The sequence below is a fragment of the Homo sapiens genome, chromosome 2 (genome assembly GCF_000001405.40).
Source record: "Homo sapiens chromosome 2, GRCh38.p14 Primary Assembly".
Taxonomy (NCBI): domain Eukaryota; kingdom Metazoa; phylum Chordata; class Mammalia; order Primates; family Hominidae; genus Homo; species Homo sapiens.
In genome coordinates this window covers 64,303,002-64,327,078 of record NC_000002.12, presented here as the reverse complement: position 1 = coordinate 64,327,078, position 24,077 = coordinate 64,303,002, and the positions used below count along the sequence as shown (strand labels likewise).

Sequence of the window (24,077 nt, the reverse complement as noted above, 5' to 3'; positions counted from 1 at the left end):
CCTCCTGAGTAGCTGGGACTACAGGCACATGCCACCACACTTGGCTAATTTTTTGTATTTTAGTAGAGATGGGGTTTCACCACGTTAGCCAGGATGGTCGCGATCTCCTGACCTTGTGATCCGCCCGCCTCGGCTTCCCAAAGAGCTGGGATTACAGGCGTGAGCCACCACGCCTGGCCAAGACTCTGCCTTTCTAACAAGTTCCCAGACGATGCTGATGGTGCTGGCCCAGGACCACATCTTGCGCATATCACTCACCCTGCATCCCACCAGCTGGTCAAGGTCCTGCTCAGATGCTACCGTTTTTGTCAACAAAACTGGGCACACTAGCAAAAAATGCACCCCCTCCCCGCCCACTCACCTCACTGCTACACCCCTCTGTGCCTGCCAAGACACTTTGTATCTGAGCTATTTGGCTGTGTCTCCCTGACCTCAGGGGCCTAAAGTTCTCATGCCTTTCCCCGTACCCCACAGAATCTCATTTAGTGCAGCCGGGGACACGCTACCAGCTGGGGCAGATTCCGTTCCATTCACTGGGACCTTAAAGAACTTCAGACTCCTTGATGCAGCACTCAGCCCTGGGGGTCCAAAGATGCATGACGCCCAGAGACTGCCCTTGAGATGAACATCTATTTTCTGGGTTATATTCACTGCTCACTGAGCCCACTCTGCTGTCCTTCCAGCTGCTGGCCTGGGGCATGACTGACCTGAGCAGACCACGGGATGTCCTCCCTGATCTAAACCAGTGGGAGGTTCCTCTCACTAATACACATCTCCAAGTTCTCAGCTTGCCTTGCTGTCTTTGAGACTCAGAAGGGAGGTGTTACTTTCGGTGGTAAGCCACAATATGTAACTCATAGAGGGCATGTAAGAGGCAGGTGAAAGATGTTTTGCAGCCTGTTTAAATGTCAGTGACTAAGACCCAGGGGTGCTCTGAGAACATTCTCACTTCTCAGTTGTGGGCACCTAAAAGGTTACTGTCCACCCAGTTCTCCTGCCACGTGGACTTACGGCATCACGGCCTCACATCCTCATGGGACCAATGGCAAATTATGGAACCTCAACTCAGGCTGCTTAAGTAAAATGGGAACTCTTTGCTCACCTCTGTGGCTTGGCCCAAGGTGACTCAGAATTGAAAAAGAAGCTATAGGAATCTGGGATTTAGGAACCATGTCTGGTCTCACACATGCCAGGACTCTCTCTCTGTCTATCCCGTTCTCATCTCTGCATGTCCTTGTATGTGGGCCTAACTCTCTCTTGCTGCATTCAGGAGAAAGGGTACCATGCCCACCAAGGCAGTGTGGAATAGAAGGGGGACTGTTCTCCAAAGGAGATAGGAGTGCTAGACAGACCCAAACCAGACATCCATTCCAAATGGTTAGCAAATGTTAAGTCTTTGTCACAAGTTAGGCACTCTGCTGTTTTACATATATGATCTCATTTAATCCCCAAGCTCACTCTATGAGTCAAGTATGGCATTTGCTGGTCTGACAAATAAAAAGGCATGACACAAATCATACCTCAGTCCCTTCTACCAGCTCCAGTGTTGGCTTTGGGACAGCCAGAAGATATGACCTGGATGGGAGAATGCATTTCCTTTGGAAATAAGCATATTGTCCTAGAAAGGGGGCCTAAAAGCCAATGCTTTAGCTCTGGTTGTCTCTGTATCAGTAGTTATGAGGCTAACACCATCAACGTCAAGTTGTTAATTTTGGATAATTTAGATCTCTCTATTAAACCATCATTTCTCTGTGAATCTACATTGAAGGAAGAGAAGTCTCATCAAGAAAATCAAAGGGGTTTCCTCCACTGTCTCACCCAGCCAAGACACATATCCTTTGGGATAGCATTTAAGCAGATAGATGATCCGATTAGATGAGGATAAGCCATGGGATTCTCCCTCCAGACGATCTGCCATCTGGAGACGTTTTCATGGATCCTAGGACCCTACCCAAAAAAAGGACTCTCCTCTCCAGCTTTATTTCTGTGACCACTTCTTGCCTATATTTTCTCTAAGAAGAAATGAGAGTTGAGACTTGCTCACAACTTTACCATTAAGAGAAAATAAATCATAACAGAGCCTGGTCACCACCCGTCTGAGTGGTCCCCCGACCCACCAGGGGCGTGGCTCCTTGGCTGCTGAGATTCTCAAGGCTGAGAGCAGCCCCTCCAGTGTTCCTACCTGACTGGGGACTTCGTGCAGCCGCAGGCTCTGCCTCTTCTGCTGTCCATTACATCCTGACTCACAGCACAGTGGCTGGCACACAGCGGGTGCCCAAGAAGTGTTTGTTAAACAAATGAATGATATTCCATTCTCCAGTGATAACTCAAACAACAATTGAAATCAGTTGGTGACTCCAAGCCAAGGTCACTGTGCTGAACATTATAGTTACATAGTTATATCAAATTCCTCAGAGACATCCATGGTTTTTCTCACTGGTCAGTTCTTAGGGCTCTGTTTTTGGTTTCATCAATGCAAATGCCAACTCTTTATGTAAATATTGTCATAAATTCCTTCTCAATATTCTGCCGTGCATTTGTTCAATATAAATGTGCTGATCACAGGCTTCAAATCTGGGTCAAAGAATATTTGACTGAAGTCAGACAACCAGAGCCCCAGCTCTATGACCACTAGCAAATGCCAGTATTTACTGAGCACTTACTATGTGCCTGACACTTTATATGCATAATCTCATTTAATCCTCAAGATAATCCTATGTAAATGGTGCCGTCATCATCTTGATTTTATCCATGAGGAAAGTAGAGTTTCTAGGGTGTAAGGACCTAGCTTATTGCCACATAGCCACATGGTAACTACTTAGTTCAAGGCAGAGTTAGGACTCAAACTCATCTGACTGACTCCAGTGCCAGTGCTTTCAAATCAATCCATAGCATTGCAAGTCACTTAACTTCCCTGCACCTCTGCTTTATTTTCCTTCTAATGGGGATAAAAATCATCTCGCAATTGTAGACTGATGCATTGTGTACACCGTAAAGCACCACACACATTTTGAGGTTAACATTGCCATTGCCTCCAATCAAAGCAGGGTGTGAGAAGACACCACTAGATTAATCAATGCTTCTCTTCCCTTAGGCATCTTGCCAGCGCTTCAGCAATCAACAGACATTACCCAACACCGACTTTGTGCCATTCACACAAAGATGAATAAGAGGGCACCCTTGCCCTCAAGAAGCCCACAATCTTATGAGCATCTCCACTAGTTAATGAGGGTCAGGGCTGGATCTATACACTCACCCCAGATGCCCCCTTTGCTTGATGGTTCCTTGTTTCTCTGCCACTCCAGATGTCCCCTTTGCTCGATGGTTCCTCGTTTCTCTGGAAGAAAGAGTAAAAGAGAAGTTTGAGCCTAATGGTTGGACCTCTAGGACACAAAGAATAAGAGGGTAGATAAGTGGGAATAAAGGCCACCCCTTAGCTCTGGGGATCACACTCCATCAAGGAAGGAAACCCTCCTTCCTGCAAACAATGGTATTATAGAGTGGTTAATGGGTTCAGGTAGCAGCTCCCCACTTTCCTGGCCATGTGAGCACTGCTTTAAGGCTCAGTTTCCTTATCTCTTAAGGGGAGGTGATAATTTTGATAACATGTATAAAGAGTTTCAGTCAGTGTCTGGAGCAGAGCAAACGTTAGGTGATGTGTGGCCAAAGGCAGGGGAACCGGTAGTGCAGGCTGCAGCAGCAACAACCTCATGAGCCGGTGGGAGGGAAGCGGCATCTGTGGCTGGGAATGAGGGGAAGCCACTCAGGACCCAGGGGAAGGAGCAGCACCCCTTCCTCAGTGAAGCAGGAGGACTCTGGAGCAAGCACCACTGTTGTTTAAACAGCCCTCACTTGTCCTGCATAGCCTAGAGAAAAGAGCGCCAAAATACTAAGTAATAAAATCAGAATGTCTTTCCACATTAAAAACTATTGTTTGCAGAGCAAGAACATCAGGTATTTGTGTTATGCTTTCAAATTCATTAGATTCTCAGAACAACCCCATGAGGCACAGAAAGAAATGACCACCCCCATTTTGCAGCTGGTGGGACTGAGACTTGTGAGCTGACACCATCTGATGAAGGTGGTAGAACCGAATTAACACCTAGTGCTTGGTCCAGGGTTTAACACCCTCTTTCAGAGCAAACCTTTGTAGAGAAAATGGAAAAAAATGCAGATGCCTGCCTGGAGAAGCTTTTAAACTTCCTATTCCTGAGCCCTCCTGAGACCTACTGAATAAGGATGTGCATGTTCCCAGGAAGCTCCCTCAGGGGAGCAGATACTGTTCTGCTGGCACAGTGGACTGGCAACCTGGAAGCCAGTAGCCACAAAGGTAATGCTCCGTTTGTAGCTGTAAGAGGGTTTGGAGCAAACACCCTGGTTGTCTGCCAGCCCCCGGCATCCTCTGCCCGCTCTTGCTAGGATAACTGCACTGGCCCACCGACTGGGGTTATGCCCATCAACAATCCCCCACCCAATCCACCCTCCACTGCAACCACCCCCTGCCTCACCCACATGCAAACCCCTGCTTAGCATTCTGCTCAGCTAGCAAGCCCCTTAGCCTGGCTGACAAGCCCTGCCTGATCTGACCGCATTATCCACCACTCTCTGCTCCCTAGCCAACAAGTCTTCCTTCAGTCTCCAGATCTGCAGAGATCCCCTGGTACCACAAGCCCTTGCACTTATGCCTCCTGCCTTCTGGAATGCCCATAGCCTCAAACCCCACTGCCCTCCCCTTCTAGTTAATGCCTCCTCCTTCTGACGGCACAGGGAAGTCTTGTCAGCCCCCAGTCTAGGGCAGAGTCCTTTGCTACGTGCTCTCTTAGAGCTGGGATCCCTTCTTTGGGGGATCTCGTCTCTGATTACAGCTCTACATGGAGGAGTGAGTTTTTAAAAATTTAGTTCCATCTCCTCTTAACACAGAAGAGAGTTTCTGGAGAGCAGGCATCATGGGGTCTGCCCTGCTCATCATGTCTTCTCACTGCTTGGCACTCAGTGAGCGTTTGTTGAATGATATTGCATGTTATTTGTAATGGGACAAGCCAGGAGCCCAGCTGCCTCCACCTCCCAATTCCCAGGAGGCAGGACGTTTGGAGGAGGCCAGGGTGATGAAGCCATTTTGACATCTGTGCTCCCGTCAAAGTGCAACGTCACTAGGTTTTATTACCATGTAACGTGCACGACTGACATTCCCAACTTTGTGCTGTCCACATCCCCTACCCTGGCCACGAGAGACTCCTATACCACAGTCTCCTTTGTCTCTGTTGGGTTTGAATTTTTATGAGGTGGAATTATTTTTGTAGTCAGAAAAGGCCATATAATTTTTAGTCTGTCAGAACTGGGCAAGACTCTAAGGTAACATTAGTTCTGTCTCTAAAAATCATAATTTAGAAGGAAGTATAAAGTATTTAATGTATGTCTATTGAAAGTATTTCAAGAAGCACTAGAAATTTATTTGAAATTTCTCTTGGCATTCCTAAGTTGAGAAAAAGAGATAATGTCATGGTTCAAATATCCTTTCTGCACCGGACACTGCAATGTGTTGTTAACTTTAAGGGATCTAGTGAAGAATGTGAGAGGCAGAGTGAATTCTCAGAAAAGAGGCAAATGCCTTGCTGGGCTGCTTGACAGCCCTCCCTGAGATAAACAAGGAGAGCAAATCCAGGAGCCCTGGTTCTAGGTGGCAGCCCTTCTGACACCTGCTTCACCCCAAATTCCACTCTGCATAAAGGCCAGGGATGGGGTGAGATTATTTGGTTTTGCACAGTATTACTTTTTAAAACCCTAAGGTCTAGTAGGTTGGTGGTTTGTTTTGGGCTGTGTCAAACAATTCCCACATAAAGTGATTGCATTTGAATTTCACCTACCTATCTGAGACAATTCCTCACCTCTCTCCCTGCTGTGAGCCTATGTCTTAGTTTGCTTTGTGCCACTATAACAGAATTCCACAGACTGGGTAACTTATAATGAAGGGAACTTTCTTTCTCCAGCTCTAGAGGCTGGGAAGTCCAAGATCAGGCGGATCACATCTGGTGGGGGCTTTCTTGCTAAGTCACCCCATGGCAGAAGGGCAAAGAGACGGCGAGAGAGAGACAAAAGGGGCTAAACTTGTCCTTTTATAAGGAACCCATTCCCACAATAATGAATCCACTCCCATGATAATGGCATTAATCCATGCATGAGGGCATAGCCCTCATAGCCTCAGCACTTCTTAATACTGTCACAATGGCAATTAAATTTCAACATGAGTTTGGGAGGGAACACACATTCAAACCATAACAACCTAGACTCTGGCCCAACTCTGGCTCCTCACTGGTAAGAATCTCTTTGATTATTAGAAATAAGGATCAAATAGCTGTTAAAGAATGCATGCTTTGGGCTGGGTCTGGAGAACACAGCCAAGGGCTTTGCTGACAGAAGCAGAGTAGTTAATGGCAAAAGTGTCGGGAGACCCAACCCTGACTGGGTCAGGTGACTTCATTCCCTTTATCGTGAATCTTACCACATTCAAGCAATTTTTCTCTCTTTACCCCTGGTAGGCTAGACCCAATGGGAACCTACCTGCTAACCTATACTTGAGATTTTAGCATTGCAGTGGTGTTGGGGGATGAAAGGAGGTCATTTTAAGCATAATAAATTTTGAGAGTTGAATAAAATGTTACCTCCTAGATTCAAAGAAAGATTGGATGGGCTGGGAGATTGATTGGCAGACAGATTTAAAGAAATATAGTGGGCTGGTCCACGGTATAGAAATCCGTAAGAGTTTTTGTGAACATGTGACCAGCCATAATTCCAAAATGTGTCTGCCACTTGATAATTATTCTGATGGATGGGCAGATGGATGGGTGGATGAATGGATTTATCCACTGTGGCAGACGCTGTCAGTGCCCTGCCCATATTCTCTGTTTTCATTTCTACACTCCAAAGCCTGCTTATTTCCCACACCTGCCACTCTGTCTCTTCAAGCCTTTATCTGGCTGGGAAAGTGCATCAGGCCTAGGAGCCAGAAAAGGAAGGTTACTGCCCTGGAAGCAGACTTCAACCCATGATTGATGGGGACGTGGTGAATAAAGACCCAGTCTCTGTTGGGTGACTCTGAGGCATGTCTACGCAGCAAGACTAACCCCCAGTTGCCCTCAGAGATAACTGAGAACACACTTTTTTTTTTTTGAGATGGAATCTTACTCTGTCGACCAGGCTGGAGTGCAGTGGTGCAATCTCGGCTCACTTCAACCTCTGCCTCCAGGGTTCAAGCGATTCTCCTGCCTCAGCCTCCCAAGTAGCTGGGATTACAGGTGCACACCACCAAACCCAGCTAAATTTTTTTTTGTATTTTAGTAGAGGCAGGGTTTCACTATGTTGGCCAGGCTGGTTTCGAACTCTTGACCTCAAGTGACCCACTTGCCTCAGCCTCCCAAAAAGCTGGGATTACAGGCATAAGCCACTGCGCCCGGCCAATAACACCCTCTTTATTGCCTTTCTTTCCTTCCCTGTCTCCTTTCCCATTTCCCCCTTAATGTTTCCTGGGGTAACCTTCCAAATGAACTCTTGTACTCAAATCCTTGTTGTGGAGCATGCTTCTGGGGAACCCAAACTAAGACATCCATCTCACGGACTGCTCTGTGAATGTGACTGAAAAGTCGCCAATGTCACCCTTACCTCTGCTTCCTAAGAACAAGAATAATATAGTTGGAAGAAGGGTGACAGCTAACTCACACATCATTGGATTAGTACCTAACCCTATCAAAGTGCATAATCACCAGGTCTTATTGCTGAGCAATGTGGTGGCTGACAGTGTTGACCCTCCTGCCGTCAGCAACTCCCATCCTAACCACAAGCAACTTCCAAGTTCTTCTTTAGCTCCGTTGGCTTTGAATTTTTATGTGGCACACTGTTTAATCTGCACCTAATTGGAATAGTATTAAACTCATTCTTGATTACTTCTCTCTGGAAACTCTCATCTTATTAAGTATTTAACAGAAGTTCACATTCATTACTGAAGCCGATCAGGCTCTGTTATTTAATGAATGAAAAGAGGACAAATGCCAGACCCACAAACCCATTTTCCTGGCCAACCTTGTTTGACAATGCAGCTTTCCTAACTCTAAGGTTGTCATGTTTGTTAAAAAAAACAGTCCTTTCAGCTTTTCTCTGATTATTAACTACCTAAATTCTCTACAGATCCTCGGAATACCTGCAATAATTTCTAACAACAGTAAAGGAGTGGTTCTCAGCCATAGCTGTGCATTAGAATCATCTGGGAAGCTTTTGTTGCAAGGGATTCCTGGATCCCACTACAGACCAATCAAATGGTGATGTGCAGACAGTAGTATTTTAAGTCTCCAGGTGGTTCTAATGTGCAAACAAGGATGAGAACCACTGATTTAGGGGAACAGAGTTTCTATAAGGCTTTGAACACCAGCTGCCCCAGGAGCTACAGATTTAGAAAAGCAGGAAGAGCTAAAAGTGTCATTGATGACAGGCCAAGTGACAAAGCACACATCATAATATAGTCACTGCATTTGTGGCCTGCCCTATGCTTCACTCCACCCTTTACTCACACTTCATTCTCTGCACTTGAGCCAAGGGACCTCGGGATGCCCCTCATCAACCATGTAATGATCTTTTGCTCTCATAATATAGCAAAGACTTCTCCTCTCCTCCCCTAAGAGATTTCAGATCAGGAATTTTATTTTCTCACTCGAAAGTTGAGCTTCATGTAGTCTCATTTCTCATGCATTTTAATTTCTCTATCTTCAGATCTGAGTAATTTTTGCTCCTGGGTGATTTTTGAACCTTCAGTTATTAGATGAATGTGGCTGCCTTCGTCCCTGGGGAGTTATCCTACAGGAGGTGTTTCTTACATCCCCAGAGTCCAAAAAATCAAAATGGAACCTAAATGCTGTGATATTTCTTTATGACTGAGCTCTACCCACAGCTGTCCCTTTATGGGCTTAGGGCCCTGGAGGATTTCAAGCCTGATAATGTATAAACTTTATAAAACCTTATAAAACTTAACAAAATCATAGTGATTATTTGGGATTCCAAGCCAAGGTAACATAATTTAAGTGAGTCCTTGAGCCTTTTAAGATGTTTTTATATCTTGGCATGTATCTGCATTTTTTCAGAAGGGGGAGACAGTCTATAGCTTCTTTCAAATCCTCAAACAGGTGTGTGTCTTCACACAGTTTAAGAATTAGCAACTTCATGCTTTTCCCCTCTTGCTCAAGAGCCCAAATACAGACTCTTTGATGTGAGAGGGACTCATATTGAGCCTCCTGGTCTCTTCCCTCACTTTGTTGCCTTCTCCTACCACCATCTAGGGGCTCTAGAATGTTACAGGATATAGCTTTCTGGTCACCAGAGAGGAGGCCTAAAGTCACAGAGCACCTGAAAGTCAAGGAGACAAAGTGATCCAGCTCCCAGGATCCAGCAGTTCTTTAGAAGAAAATATTTGGTATGGGTTCTCTGGTGGCCCATGAGATCCTAAGCAAACACTGTCCCAGACTAACATGACTCCAGGCTGAGAGCTGGCTTCACTGGAGAGAACAAGCCTCCCTTTCTTGTGCAAGCATATGTGATCCTTTTCTTTCCCCAAATTCTTAAAAAGGCATGAAAGGTGGTCATTTGTCACTGTCAGGCTTCCCACTGTATCAAAGCAGATACTTACCATGCTGAAATCCCACCTCAGCATACACCTCACTCCCTCACCTTGGAAAGGTTGAGTCTCCCAGTTTCTCTGCTGCGATGCGATGTTGGGGGGGCGGGGGCGGGGATTAATAATGTCTCACCTTCAGGGTGAGACAGAGGACTCTGTAAGTTCCATAAAGGGGAGGGAGGCTGTGAGTGTGTATGGGGGGTGGTGGCACGGGGAGAGGGAGCCAACATTTATTGACTCTCTAGTATGTGCCAGGTGTGTGCTATACCCTTCAATCATGATCACTGCCTGGTGAGCAGCTGCAGGGTACACTCAAGAGAGCAACTGCTGCACAAGGTCACACTGTTGGGCTGGAAAAATTCTCAACTCCAAGAGACTTACTCTTAAAAGAGGAGGAATAAACCTTTATAGTGCCTGTGACAATGACCGCCAATTGCACCTAGTATTTCATGCTTTTTCTTTAGCAGCACTGCCCAGTAAAACTTTCTGAGATTAAAATGTTCCATGTCTATAATGTCCAATGTGGTCATCATGAGCCACATGTGGCTATTGAGCACTTAAAATGGGGCTAGGCTGACTGAAGAACTGAATTTTAAATTTCATTTAATTCATTCAAATGTAAATGGCCATATGTCCTAGTGGCTACTCTATTGGACAGTACAGTTCTATGGTAGATCTGACTTTTAGCTTGACCCATGGTCCCCTGAATTGAAGCCTCTAATTCACAGCCTGTATTGCAGTCATGTGATTAAGTTTTGACCAGTGGATGCGAGGGGGGTGATATAGGCAACTTCCAGGCTATGCCCTCGAGGGAAGGGCATGCCCTCCGCATTGCCTTTTACTCCCTCCTGCTGGCTGGCCCAGGGTGTGGCCGTGAAACATCTGGAATCATGAAGACAACACCTTAGGGAGGGTACGGCAATAACATAAAAGGAAACTGGGTCCCGGAGGATGCTTTCATGAAGCTGTGCCCTAATTCCAGCTCAGACATCTATGCGTGAGAGAAATAAAAATTCCACTTCATGTAAGCCACTGTCATTTTGGGTCTGTGTGACTCTGAGCCACACCTATGTTCTATCCTAGCAGATATACAGTCTTCCTCCCTCTTACAGAGACTGGGGAAAACAAATGTCCCATGTATGAATTTCAAGGCTGCTGTCAGATCTTTATGCAATTTAAGGGCAGAAGCATTTGTGGAGCCTCTGCCCAGCAAAGCACTTTGGTGGGCTGGTCGGTCTGCAAAGGTAGACCTGAGTTTAGTGGGACATAAGGTTATGGAGAGCCAGATTCTATGCACAAGAAAGAAATCAGGATTTGGGGGAGAAGACTGGCTCTTAGAGAAGGGAGAAGGACCTGGAGAGAGAAGAAGGGACCTGAGAAAACAGCATCAGGATGGGCCTAAGGGGTAATACAGTCAGCAGGACAGTCCCCAGGGCAGGAATAATGGATGGGCTTTCTCATCAATGGCAACTGTTGTCCCTGTGTTGAGCTGTACTGCAGACAACCCCTTGCTTGCTCCAAACACTGCTGCACAGCCCAGCCTTGTGTGGATGGTGCTTTGGAGAAAGCTAAGGAATTGGGGCAGCATCCAACATGGGACAAAGCAATATGAGGAACACAGCAGTCTTAGAAGGAAAGACACGGGGTTCACTCAGGAGTGCAGAGGAATGGAGAAATCTGAGCAAGAGGAGACTAGGAGAACGGGAAGGTCCTCAAGAGTTCCAGCAAACTTTGTGGGAAGAGACATGCTGGCTTCCACCAAATGTGGGATGGGGGTTCCTGCCACTTCACTTGAATGTTAGAGAAAAGCATTACCCCAGAAGTGTGTATGGCCTGCGGCATCCAGGCAGTTGACACTTGGTTTTGCAGTTCCTCGTGGGACCATCTTTCCTCCTGGCCAACTCCCAAAAACCTGACAGCCAAGTTGGGAAGAGAAGTGAATGTTTCTTTCATGCTTTCTCTAACTTGGCTTGGATTAAAGGAGAACTGCTTCTCTTAAATCAAGAGTACGCAATCATTAGGAGGAGTGAGAAAATCTGTAGTTGGTAGAGGGCCAAAGTGGATTGGTGATCCTGGTGGTTGGAGACATTCAGAACAGGCGTTTGGGAATTCTGGGTTTTAGATGGGCCAGAATCCCATATCCCAACTGGCTCCTGAGACAGAACATGGAACACTTGCAGAAAGGTGTTAGATGTTGTTTCTGCTAATAGTAACACTATGTTTAATGTCCAAATATATTCTCTGTTTACACTTGTTCAAGTGATGGAATTTTAGGAGCTACACCTGGGGTAATAGAAAGGTGACAGGTGTTTCCTTGGTAATTCTCCTGAATATGGTTCTATCACATCTCTAGTCAAACTAAGATATAGACTGAAGCTTGGGACCCATTGGAAAAGGATCATTTGGGAATAAAAATCTTCACATTTATTGAGTGCCTTCTATGTGCCTGCGTGCTGCTAGACACTCTACACTAGTATAGTCTTCACAATCCAATGATATAACTTTATTTACATAATAAGGAAACTGAGGCTAAAGAGGTTGACAATGTGGCCTAAAGTCACACAGTGAGTACGTGGTATGGTTGGGTTTTGAACTCAGACTGACTGGCATTGGAGTCCACATACTTAGCTACTACCATATTCTACCTCTTTGCTCTGGGGGCGTTGTACTTAGGCACTGGGTGCACACAACCCTTCAGAACCATCCAGGGTCTTCCCATGAGCATGAAACTGCACAGAGGACTATATCCTCAAATGGCGAAGAGCCTGGGGTGAAGCTACACAGCTATTAATGTGCAACCTAGAAGTTTTTGCTTTTATTAGTTACATACACCTCTTTATCAACTTAGTTACTAGTCACATCCTAACAACTGTAAAAGCAGAACATTTCCAAAACATTTCTCTTATTTGATATTCCTAGTAGCCTGAGTTCCAGGCAAACAAGATTTTATTGTAATCTGAACAATAAATAAATGGTTATTTTCAAGCCCAACTTTAACTTTACTGAATATGTAGCATACTTATTATTCATTGCCTGCCAAAGCCACATTTTCACTAAATCTTGCAATTAGTGGAAAAACTATATTTTAAATACACATGTATAGTAGGTGTATTGAGTATAAGCCTTAATGAAATTCATTTTAAAACAGTGGAGTATCTGCTTGAAGACTGTATGAAGTACATTTTCCCGTGTCTTTTCTTAGGTTAATAAATATCTAGGGACCAGTTTAACTGCCGGCTTCAAGTAACCTACCAAGTAAAATAATATACCTAATGATTCTAGAAGAAGACATTTTCTTCCATTTTGAGGCAGTGTCTCTTATCTTGAAATTATGAATTTGAGGTTTATCTGATAGTGACTTTGCATGACCAAAAATGCTTTGGAGATTATGACATTAATTTTTAAGGAGGAGGAGGTCCAGGACTGTTGTTTTGTTGTGTAAAAATCTGTATTTTAAACATGTAATTCATTTTCAGTTCTACATTTTGTGTATATTGAGTCCATATTGCCGCCTTGGTAGAAAGCACAAAAGAGGGTTTTTAAATTTTCTGTTATATTAGTTATAAATGTTATAAAGGAGATAGAATTGAACAGCTTGTAACTGTACTGAATTTGATTTTCATTTCATAAGATTTATAGAGTGATGTGAGAGTTTAAACTTGTCCTAAAAAGGCTCTTAAATGAAAAACATGTCAGCTGTATTGAAAAAGGGCCTCAAAGAGCTTCTCCCTGCAGGAGTCAGAACTTATTATGGCATCATCAGCTAGTTTCAGTGCTGCTGGTGAAATGTGATTTCTCAGATAAAACAGCATCCCAAGAAATGACATTTACAAAACTTGGTTCTAGCCAGTTTGGAGCAAGAATTCACACATTCACACTGCTGTCCTCACTGCTGGCGGAGACCAAATTGAGAACATTTTTAGCAGGAAGAGCTGGCACTTGGCTCTGAACCCCATGGCTAGCGCCTGTGGAGAAACAGATAAGGAGTTGTACGGTTTGCTCCTAATAACCATGTTCCCTTGACATTGTAAATTTTTGCACAAAATTACCCAGAAGGCATAACAAAATACTCTTTGCTACAGTAAACCACTCCCGTGCATGGAAAGTATATAGTGAGCACTGGAGAGATCCGGGCTTCCTTTTCCAAAGTTTTTGGAACAGACTCCAGGTTTCTTTCCACCCAGGGGAAAAGCTGCTACAACACTTAAGGGCGGGGGGGGAGGGGAGGTGGGAATGATTAAAATTTGTTTTAAATGTGAATCATGACAAACCTATGAATTAGAAACTTAGAGAAAAACTTATTTGAGCAAGGATAGTCGCCAAAAAGCTCAGAGCAAAATTGAAAAAAAAAAAAAAAAGTCCTGATGCTCCAAGACTTCAGACTTGTATGCATCTGGTGCTGTTGAGAGACGCCCTACACTGAACTGTCTCCCCCCGGGGCCAGACGGCGCCTCAAACATTCCCCCACAGCCTCCTTTTAGATGAGGGCACAACTCCGTGAAGCTCCAGGTAGGATCGAATGTTATCTGGAAGAGGAGATACGTTAGTCCCAAACTGCTGATTGTCAAACTATCAGAGTCCTTAAGGAATTGGTCTAAGGGTAGGTAAGTTTGGAACGTAGGAGCTGAGTGGAGAAGGGAAAGGGGATCAAGAAATGGGTTTCGAGCATGAGACAGGGCAGAGCTGGGCATGAAAGGGGCCCTTGGAAACCAAGGGAGATTGGGTGCCTAAATTTTGGGAATAGGAGATGGGATAGAAGCACCTACATTAGTTCTCATTGACTATGACCCAGGTATGCAGAGTTTTTTTAAGCCAATTTTTCATAAGCTGTTATGCAACATTTGTCTTCATCTGTCAGGGAGCCTGCAAACCCAGTTGCACCACACAGTGGCGTGATTGTTTTCCTCCCGTCTACGAAGCTCTGGTTTCAGTGGCTCTGCCAATCACAGCTGTTTCTGGATTGTTCACAGGGACCGGGCACGGGAGCAGCGTGGGCGGCTGAATTCCATAGAAGCAGAGACCTCATTGTGACCATCAGCCCCAACTTGCTTTCATGGGGTTTTCACCAGAGCTTCCCACAACAGCTAAATAAGGGGTAGCATTTCTCCCTCGGGCCCCTGTCTGATGCCTCCTGTCCTCTAAGAGGGGTAGAAAGTGAGAGGAAAAAGCTTAGCAAGTCTGAATTATCCTCAGTCCAGACAATCAGCCAAGGGATAACCAGGAACAACTGGGGTTCCCCCGGATATTTGTTGGCCGTCCTCCCCTCGTGCTCTGCTTTGCAGACCTATCACTCAATGGGCCCTGAGTCAGGGGTAATTTACTAGCTATTTTACCAGTCTCACTACTTCACAGCGGGTGGAAGCTTCCAATTGGCTTGCAGCCCTCTAAAGCTTACAAAAAAAAAAGCCTATTTTCTGCCATATTGAGCTTTTAGGCTCTAGGCAGAGCTTTAATAAACTGAGCCCCAAAAGACGTCCCTCACATAGGGGGCTCTAGACAGCAGCCCTGACGCATGGGCCGATCTATTTCTTGCCTAAATTAAAAAAGTCCAAGTCTATTTTTCCCCCTCTTTCTGGGAAGCTGACCTAAACAAGTAAGGATATGCTATAAATGCCTTTCAAGACTCCACTTGCAGGTTCTAATTATAATTAAGATGATAATATTACTTTGAATTTGCGCTTTCTTCCAGAGTGCCCCGAGCGCTCTCAGCTGCGTGACGGCAGGTATTACGCCCTCATGTGTATCCACTTGCAGCTTCTAATTACACCGTCTTTTGATTCTGATTCTGAACTCACCTTCCTTCCCTGAGCCTGGGGCACAAGGGCCGCCTCACTGGGCTAACTTCCCTCGGTGTCTGGCCTGCCCTTCATTCAAGTTATCTGCTGGAGGAGGTTCCCCTGGCGGGGCCCCTGAGAGCTGGGCCTGACCTGCAGGCCTTTGCAGATGCACTGGCTTCCTCAGGCCCCATCCTGCCGGGAGCCTCTCCGCTGTGGCTGTCGTCACCCTCACTCCCCGGACTCCTGGGTGCCAAAGAGTGAGCCTGGTTTCCTGCCCTGTCTCTAGGGAAGGGCCCCTCTCTGAAGGTGCTCCACACCCAAGCCTGCCCTCAGTGGACTCTCTGCCCTCATTGCCCCATCTCCAGGGCAGGGGCAGGCTTGGACTTGCTCATGTCCCGCTATCCCGTGCTGGCAGAACACAGAAGCTTTGTGTGGTCTTCCAGGATCCCCTTGAATGCGCGCTGTGGGAGGAAATTCTGGCAGACTCTGACTTTTCTGGTCCCTCTAAGCTAAAAGAGTCCTACAGTCACTGAAGCCATGAGATGTAATCTCCTTTCAGAAATCAAATGTCCACTCCTGTGGAATAACAAAAACTCAAAACTGGATTTAGAGTCCTCATCTTTCTCCCAACTCAGGCCTACTATGGGCGTGGGGCGGTTGTGACTGACTCTCCTTGCCCTCTCCTCCCTTCAGCTGCTGACTATAGTGCCCCAGGGTTGGAGGAAGAGGAAGGAGAACTAGAGAAAGGTGCAAGAAAGCTCCAGGGTGGGCCTTCTCAGCACTTAACTGCTATTAAAGTTCAACCTTCCTCAGCAACTCCCTCCCCTTCATCATCACTGAGTTCTCTCACCTGTGGGTCGCAGGTGAAAGGTCGATGCATCGCAATCCCAGCAGCTGCCTCTGCTTCCTTGGTTCCTGGAAATCCAGCAACATCTCTGCTTCTCTTGGCTGAGGTTCCTTTACCCCCAGGGCACTCAATGAGCCAGCTTCCAAGTCCCTGCCTTCATCCTTTCCCCATTTCCCCTAGCCCAGTAAAGCCCTCTGTCTGCGCCCCTCCATCTGAAGACCTTCGAGGTTTTCAAGGCTGGTCCAATCCAGTCTGCCCCCAGACTGAAGGTGATACACATTAAGTTCTCCTTAAGCCCCTCTATCGTGAGAGGAATGAGCTGCATCCTCCATTTCTCCCCACTGTGTGCACAGGCACTGGAGCCTTCTCCAAAAATCCTCCCTGGAAACCTTGTCCCTTCACTCCCATTTTCAACTCTATTTTTAATATGGATCTTGGAGAGGGGGTTAAGAATAATGTTTTTTTCCTGACTCTGTGGGTCTCATTTTGGAACATGGTTTGTGTTGTCTTGGTTCTTTAGATGTAACCCAAACATGGTAGGAAAGGGAAGCATGAGCCGAAGTCCTCCCTGGCCTCCCTTTGGGACTTTTTTTTTTTTTTTTTTTTTTTGAAACAGAGTCTCGCTGTGTTGCCAGGCTGGAGTGCAGTGGTATGATCTCGGCTCGCTGCAACCTCTGCCTCCCGGGTTCAAGCGATTCTTCTGCCTCAGCCTCCTAAGTAGCTGGGACTACAGGTGCACGCCACCATGCCCAGCTAATTTTTGTATTATTAGTAGAGACGGGGTTTCACCATGTTGACCAGGATGGTCTCGATCTCTTGACCTCGTGATCCACCCACCTGGGCCTCCCAAATTGCTGGGATTACAGGCGTGAGCCACCGTGCCCGTTCCCCTTTGGGACTTTAACATCACATGTTCCCAGGGGCTCTGATTGTTAGAATACAGATTGTCCCCGCTTCCAAGTTGGGGCTTTTATGAATCCATAGTGTTAAATCTCTGGAGGAAAACAGAAGGAGGATGTCTGTGTGTGCTTCCCTGTGAAAATCAGTACAGGTGTAGGTAGTCTTCCTCAGGCTCCACTCAAATTTACTTAGGCTTTCCAGCAAGAGCAAGACAGCCATGATGTTTGGGATCATTTTATGCATGTATCTTCTGGGTGCCTGGTACCCAGAAGTTTATTTCACCTAATCCCAATCTATTTCCCTAATGACACAACTATGATGTGTCTTGGAATACTTACCCCTTCTGTTAGTATCATCCAGGTGTCTAAAGGAACAGTTTGAAGAAGCATTCATATATTTTGGAAAATGATAGTCTAAGACACTGCCCAGTATATTATCTTGTATATAGTACCTATAATATACTACTTATTATATAAAAGGTAATATAAAGAGGCCAGGCGGGGTAGCTCATGCCTGTAATCCCAGCACTTTGGGAGGCCGAGGTGGGTGGATTGCCTGAGCTCAGGAGTTCAAGACCAGCCTGGGCAACACAGTGAAACCCCGTCTCTACTAAAATACAAAAAATTAGCCAGGCATGGTGGCATGTGCCTGTAGTCCCAGCTACTCGGGAGGCTGAGGCAGGATAACTGCTTGAACCCAGGAGGTGGAGGTTGCAGTGAGCCAAGATCATGCCACTGCACTCCAGCCTGGGTGACAGAGTGAGACTCTGTCTCCAAAAAAAAAAAAAGTAAGATATTGAGCAGTATCTTTGACTATCATTTGTTACCTTCTGTTAAAGGTAAACATGATAAAACAACTACTGATGTTTAGTGCTAGAAAATATTTCTATCCATAAGCAAACATTTATGCTTCCTTTTATTTGCCAGTGAGAACTATACAACTTGATGTATTGCTTATTTTGCTTTGCCTACCAGGAAGCTCAGCACTAAATTTAGTGTTCAATTGCAGCAACTAATTCATCCCAGCAATCTGGTGTGTTTATCTCATTTCACTTTTATTTGGTTTCTGTTATTTTTCTCTTTTTTAAAGCTTTTGTTGGCCAGGCGCAGTGGCTCATGCCTGTAATCCCAGCACTTTGGGAGGCTGAGGCGGGCAGGTGACGAGATCAGGAGTTGGAGACCAGCCTGGCCAATGTGGTGAAACTCCGTCTCTACTAAAAATAGAAAAAAAAAAAAAAATTAGCTGGGTGTGGTGGCTTGTGCCTGTAATCCCAGCTACTCAGGAGACTGAGGCAGAAGAATTGCTTGAACCCAGGAGGTCAGAGCTTGCAGTGAGCGGAGATGGCGCCACTGCACTCTAGCCTGGCGACAGTGCGAGACTCTGTCTCAAAAAAAAAAAGCTTTTGTTATGTTTTTAGATATATTCTAACACTGTAAACCACCTCCAATCCTGTTTTTGTAGTTGTCAGGACATATAATAAATCCAAAATAAATATGAATAAAACTCACATTTGTTCATTCTTCCAAAATTGTTTATTGATCACCTCCTACATGTCCGGCATTTTGCTAGGTACTAGGAGAAACTCTGGAGGGCAAACAGACTAGTGCTCCCCTTGGAGAGCTCACAGGCACCAGACTCCCAGGCAGGAGGAGGGCAATGAAAACCCAAGGCCCCAGGGAAAGAGCCTGAGAAGAAAAATGATGAGATTGTGGAGTTGTGGCAGCCAGGAGAAACAAGTGTTTGCAAAGAAAAGGTAAATCCTCTGCTGCAAAGAGACCAAGTAAGACAAGGACTGAGATGTGCACACTTGGCAACAAGAAGGTCACTAGCTACTCTACCAAGAGCAATTTCACTGGAATATTAAATGAGAGATAAAGAAGTAGGGTCAGCAAGTGTCGACAACCCCTTCACAAAGTTTGGCTGAGGCAGAGAGAGACAGGGTGGGCCACTGGGGAGAATGTGATGACTTGTGCTAAAAGTGGCTCAGCCCCATCAGGTACCACCTAGGTAATGTCAAATGATTATTTGAATTCCTGTTAATATCCAAGTCTTTTTGATAGTCTGGGAGACTTGGACTATCAGGTCAATGAGAGAGGAAAAACACAAATATTAATGCTTTAGCTGCTCATTGCTCGGCTATCTTCTATTCTGTTAAATATCACTGTGGCTGTGGGTGCTGTCTTCCCAGAGCACCCAAGAACCCAGGAGCACCTTAAGGACTCTATTCTCAACTCAGATGTCTGGCACGTTTGGCTGCCAGTATACCGCTGGCCTCCATCCCAGTTCGACTTAAGAATACCACACTTTACAAAATCTGCACGATCAATTCCTCTGCACAGCAGAGGAAGTGGAGTTGGCCAACAAGCCCCATGAGCATGGGAAACACATTTACATTCAATTTTTCCAGGTCTGGGTTTATGTCCCACCTGGACCTCTGCTGGTTGGTTTCCTTATTCACCTGGCATTAGCTTGATTCATTGTAAGGATGGCTCTAATGACATGACAGCAATCTGCATTGTGATTTTGGTGTTGTGAACCTAGAAACAGTCCACATATCTTCAAGACAAACATAAGGGCCATGTGAGGCTCTTCCAAATTTACTTTCGTAATAATTGAAAGAAAAGTGGTAACTTTCTCCAAAATCACAGCAACTCAATATATAACTAATTACATGATATTCTGCCTCCTATTCCTCCTCTATCATGCACTTAACTTGCACATCACATAAACGTTCAATCAACTATCTCCTATTTTATAATGAGAGTTGTGCAATTACTTACATTTCTTTCTTTATCTTGGCTGCCAGGAAGCTCATATACAGGTTTTATTTTCAGATACAGCAACCTTCTTGAATTTTTCATTTGGCACATTTATTTATCCACTTACTTTGAGTCTATTTTTAAAATTTTTGCTCATTTTTTTTACTTACTATATATGACATTTTTGGAAACTGATTCATACCTTTTTTGAAAATGAGGTAGGGAATACATGAAATCAATGGATAATTATGCATTCCTCTGTTCCTTCTGCTTTCAGCTTACTCTCATTTGTGATATGGAAGGAATTCTTGTTTTCAAAGATAAACTCGTTGCTATTTTACCAAAGACTTTAGGGATGTGCGTGTGTGTGTGTGTGTGTAGCAAGATGCATTGTAGCACAATAGTTGAGAATGTGAACTCCGAAGACAGACCACCTGGGTTCAAATCCCAAATCTTCCGCTTCCCAGCATAGTGCCCTTAAGAAAATTTCTTTCTTAATTCTGTGGACCTTAGTTTTAATTATGAGAGTAATAATACTTAACCTATACTATGATTGTGAGGATAAAATGCTAATACATTAATACATGTAAAATGCTTGGAACATTAATGTTAATGGTTATTGTTGGTGTGGGCAGGGCAGAGAGGTGGTGCTGGAAATCAAGTCCCTCTCCAAAGGTGGAGAGAAGGTGGCACTACTGGTTGCTCTCCCTCCCTCCCTCCCTCTAGGTACTTTAGCCAGACTGTAGAAGGCAGCTGCGCAGTGGTAACTGGTTTAGAAATTTCCCTACTCTGCACAACAGGCCTCGGTTTTCTGCTCAAGATCCTTGCTCCACATGATCTCATTCTAATTTTCCCTACTTTACTTATTGAACCAAAAAAACTCCATAGGGACTTATGTCTATTCTTATTTTAATCCATCTCTTGAGCTTTTCACTCCAATGGCTTTTTAAAGACTTTCTATTTAGTTTTTTTTATTACTAGTCAGTTGGTCACTTTTATTCTTATATATGTTCATCAATAAAAGAGACAAATAGTCCTAGAAGGCAATCTTTTGTTCCCTTCCCCACAGAAGTCACTTTCAGTTCTTTTTAGCTATTTGGGATTTATTGCTATGTCTCTAAATAACATATTTGTGTTGTTTCTTGTCTGTTTATAGTTTGCTTTAGTGGTTGACATCATGCTGCTATTCCACTATGAAAAGCAAGAGATTTGTTCTCTTTCATTCTCATGCCCTATCACAGCCATTCATCCTCCTTGTACTCCATCCTAATTTGATTATATCCTAATTTGTTAGGATATAAATAGTTACATCCTAATTTGATTAGGTCATTTGTGATTATGTAAGCATCTTTGATTGCTGGGCCATGTAGTGTACTAAGAATACGTTTCCTTTCCTATAGCAGTTTTTATTTTCCATGGAATTAATGATTATTTTTCTCAAGTTCCATGATGTTGCTCTGGGCAGTGATGTCTTGAATATCGCCCCACAAGCACAGGCAACAAAAACAAAAATAGGCAAGTGGGATTCCATCAAACTAAAAAGCTCTGCACAGTGAAGGAAACAATAGACTAAAGATACAACCCACAGATTTGGAGAAAATATTTGCAAACCATACATTGGACAAGGGGCTAACATCTAAAATACACAAGGAACTCAAACTACTCAATAACGAGAAAATAAATAACCCAATTTTTAAATGGGCAAAGGACTTAAATAGACATCTCCCAAAAGAAGACATACAATGACCAAAAAAATATGAAAAAGTGCTTAACATTTTTAATCATAAGAGAAATGCAAATTAAAACCACAATGACATATCACCTCACAACTCTTAGTTTGGCTATTATAAAAAAGATGAAAGAAAACAAGGGCTGGTGACGATGTGGAGAAAAGGGAACACTTATACACTTTTGGTGTATTGTAAATTAGTGCAGCCATCTTGGAAAACGGTATGGAGGTTCCTCAAAAAACCAAAACTAGAATTACCACATGATCCATCAATCCTACTACTGGGCATATACCCAAAGTAATAGAAATTAATATGTCAAAGAGATATCTGCAGCCCTATTTTCACTGCAGCATTATTCACAATAGCCAAGATATGGAAACAATTTAAGTGTCCATCATGCATCAATGGATAAATAAATTTCTTAAATGTGGTATATATACACAATAGAATACTATTCTGGCTTTAAAAAAAAAAAAGGCCCTCAAATTCTGTTATTTGAGACAACATGGATGAACCTAGAGAACATTAAGTGAAATAAGCCAGGCACAGAGAGACAAATATCATCTAATCTCACTTATATGTAGAATCTAATCAAGTTAAACTCATAGAAGTAGAGAGTTGAATAGTGGTTACCAGAGGCTGGGGGCAGAGGTGAATGGGAAAAAGGGAGATGTTAGTCAATGAGTGGTGCCAATAATTAACCCAAGAAGACACAGTTCTGACACTGTAATCCCAGTGATGAAATCCTGAATGATCAAAATTCCTAAAGTCTAAAATCCTCAAAGTCTAAAACCCCTAATGTCTAAAATCTCCAAAATCATAATACTGAATATTGAAATACTAAAATCCAAATTCTGGGGAAAGGATTAGTGTATTTTCAGTTGAATGCGGGATAATTGCATCCTGTTAGCTGCATCATGTTGGGGGAACTATTAGCTTGTTATTGTCTTTATTTGGAAATTAAATATGATTTAATGAGATACATATAGATGCCAAGGTGAAAAGGGGTGGTCTTGTGGACTTAAATGTAGGTGTCAACTTGACTGGGTTGAAGAATACCCAGAAACCTGGTAAAGCATGATGTGGGGTGTGGCTGTGAGGGTGTTTTCAGAGGAGATGAGTGTGTGAGTGTGAGTGGACCAGGTGGGGAAGATCTGCCCCCAGTGTTGATGGGCACCACCCCATTGACTGGGGGCCCAGAGGGGACAAATACAGAAGGCAAATTGGTTTGTCTCTGAAAGCTGGGGCAAACTTCTCTTCTGCTGCCTTGGACATCAGAACTCCAGGCTTGGCACCCTTAAGACTCCAGGATTTACACTAGTGACCCTCTGGGGCCTGATGTTTTTGGCCTCAAACTGAGTTATATCATTGGCTTTTCTGGTTCTAAGGCCTTTGGACTTGAACTAAGCTATTCTATCAGCATCCCTGGGTCTACAGCATGCAGACAGTCTGTCATGGGACTTCTCAGTCACCATAATTGCATGAGCCAATTCCCCTAATAAACCTCCTCTATTTATACACATATCCTATTGGTTACGTCTCTCTGGAGAACTCTGACTAATACAGATTTGGTATTGAGGAAGCAAAGTATTATTTCTTCTTACTGTATTTCTTATAACACGTGAAAGAAATCTGAAAAATTGTTCCCGCACCAAAAGGCTGTGATAAATTAAATGTACAAGGCTACTTAATGGTGAAAGATGAAAATTTAAAAGCTAATTATTATTGGTGCTTCAAAAGCGGAAAATCACTTAATTGCAACAGCCAAGCAATAACGAGACTTCTTTACATTTACAGCATATGCTTACAAAATTTGAAGACCACAACCACTCTCCAAATACAAATGCAGCAAGTGATTTGAAGATCATAGAAATGATAATACAGGCAAAAAATGCAAGAAATCTCCCCTGCCAAATTATTCAACTATGTATGACTTCTGCCTTTTCACAGCGCCAATTTGCCATGCTATGCGTTTCATCTTTGCATCATTTTCAATACTGGATGTATAAATTGTGTAAAGACTTTCAGAGTTCTAATTCATTTTATGCATTTTTTGCAAATTTGATTCCATGAAAGTGCATTATCACATCATCGACTGTGTGTAATCATTGTGTGTGCATATAAAAATGAAGAGATAAATGAAGAGATGTTCGTTTTATACATCTGCATTTGTAAAATATAAAATTTCTTAAGATCTTGGCTGTTTGGGAGACTGCGTATGTAGTGGTGACCTATCATGGTTTTTGATCAATCTTGTCAAAAGACTTAGCTTGTCTGTCATGGCATTTCAGATGAGTGAATTTCAGATGTTATAAAGCTGGGTGCACACAATTGCCAACCACAGTGATATATATTTATACATTTTGCTTTTTGACATACTTCTTTATGAGTATGGTTTGTCTGCTCATA

The 24,077-nt window shown here is 44.0% G+C and overlaps 3 annotated features.

The window, feature by feature from the left end:
• Positions 540-649: an enhancer, noted in NCBI's record as "active region_15890". NCBI's record gives its function as "activates an Ori minimal core promoter by ATAC-STARR-seq in GM12878 lymphoblastoid cells {active_cell/tissue: GM12878}" and the evidence as "EXISTENCE:reporter gene assay evidence [ECO:0000049][PMID:35858748]".
• Positions 1,270-1,319: an enhancer, noted in NCBI's record as "active region_15889". NCBI's record gives its function as "activates an Ori minimal core promoter by ATAC-STARR-seq in GM12878 lymphoblastoid cells {active_cell/tissue: GM12878}" and the evidence as "EXISTENCE:reporter gene assay evidence [ECO:0000049][PMID:35858748]".
• Positions 1,370-1,479: an enhancer, noted in NCBI's record as "active region_15888". NCBI's record gives its function as "activates an Ori minimal core promoter by ATAC-STARR-seq in GM12878 lymphoblastoid cells {active_cell/tissue: GM12878}" and the evidence as "EXISTENCE:reporter gene assay evidence [ECO:0000049][PMID:35858748]".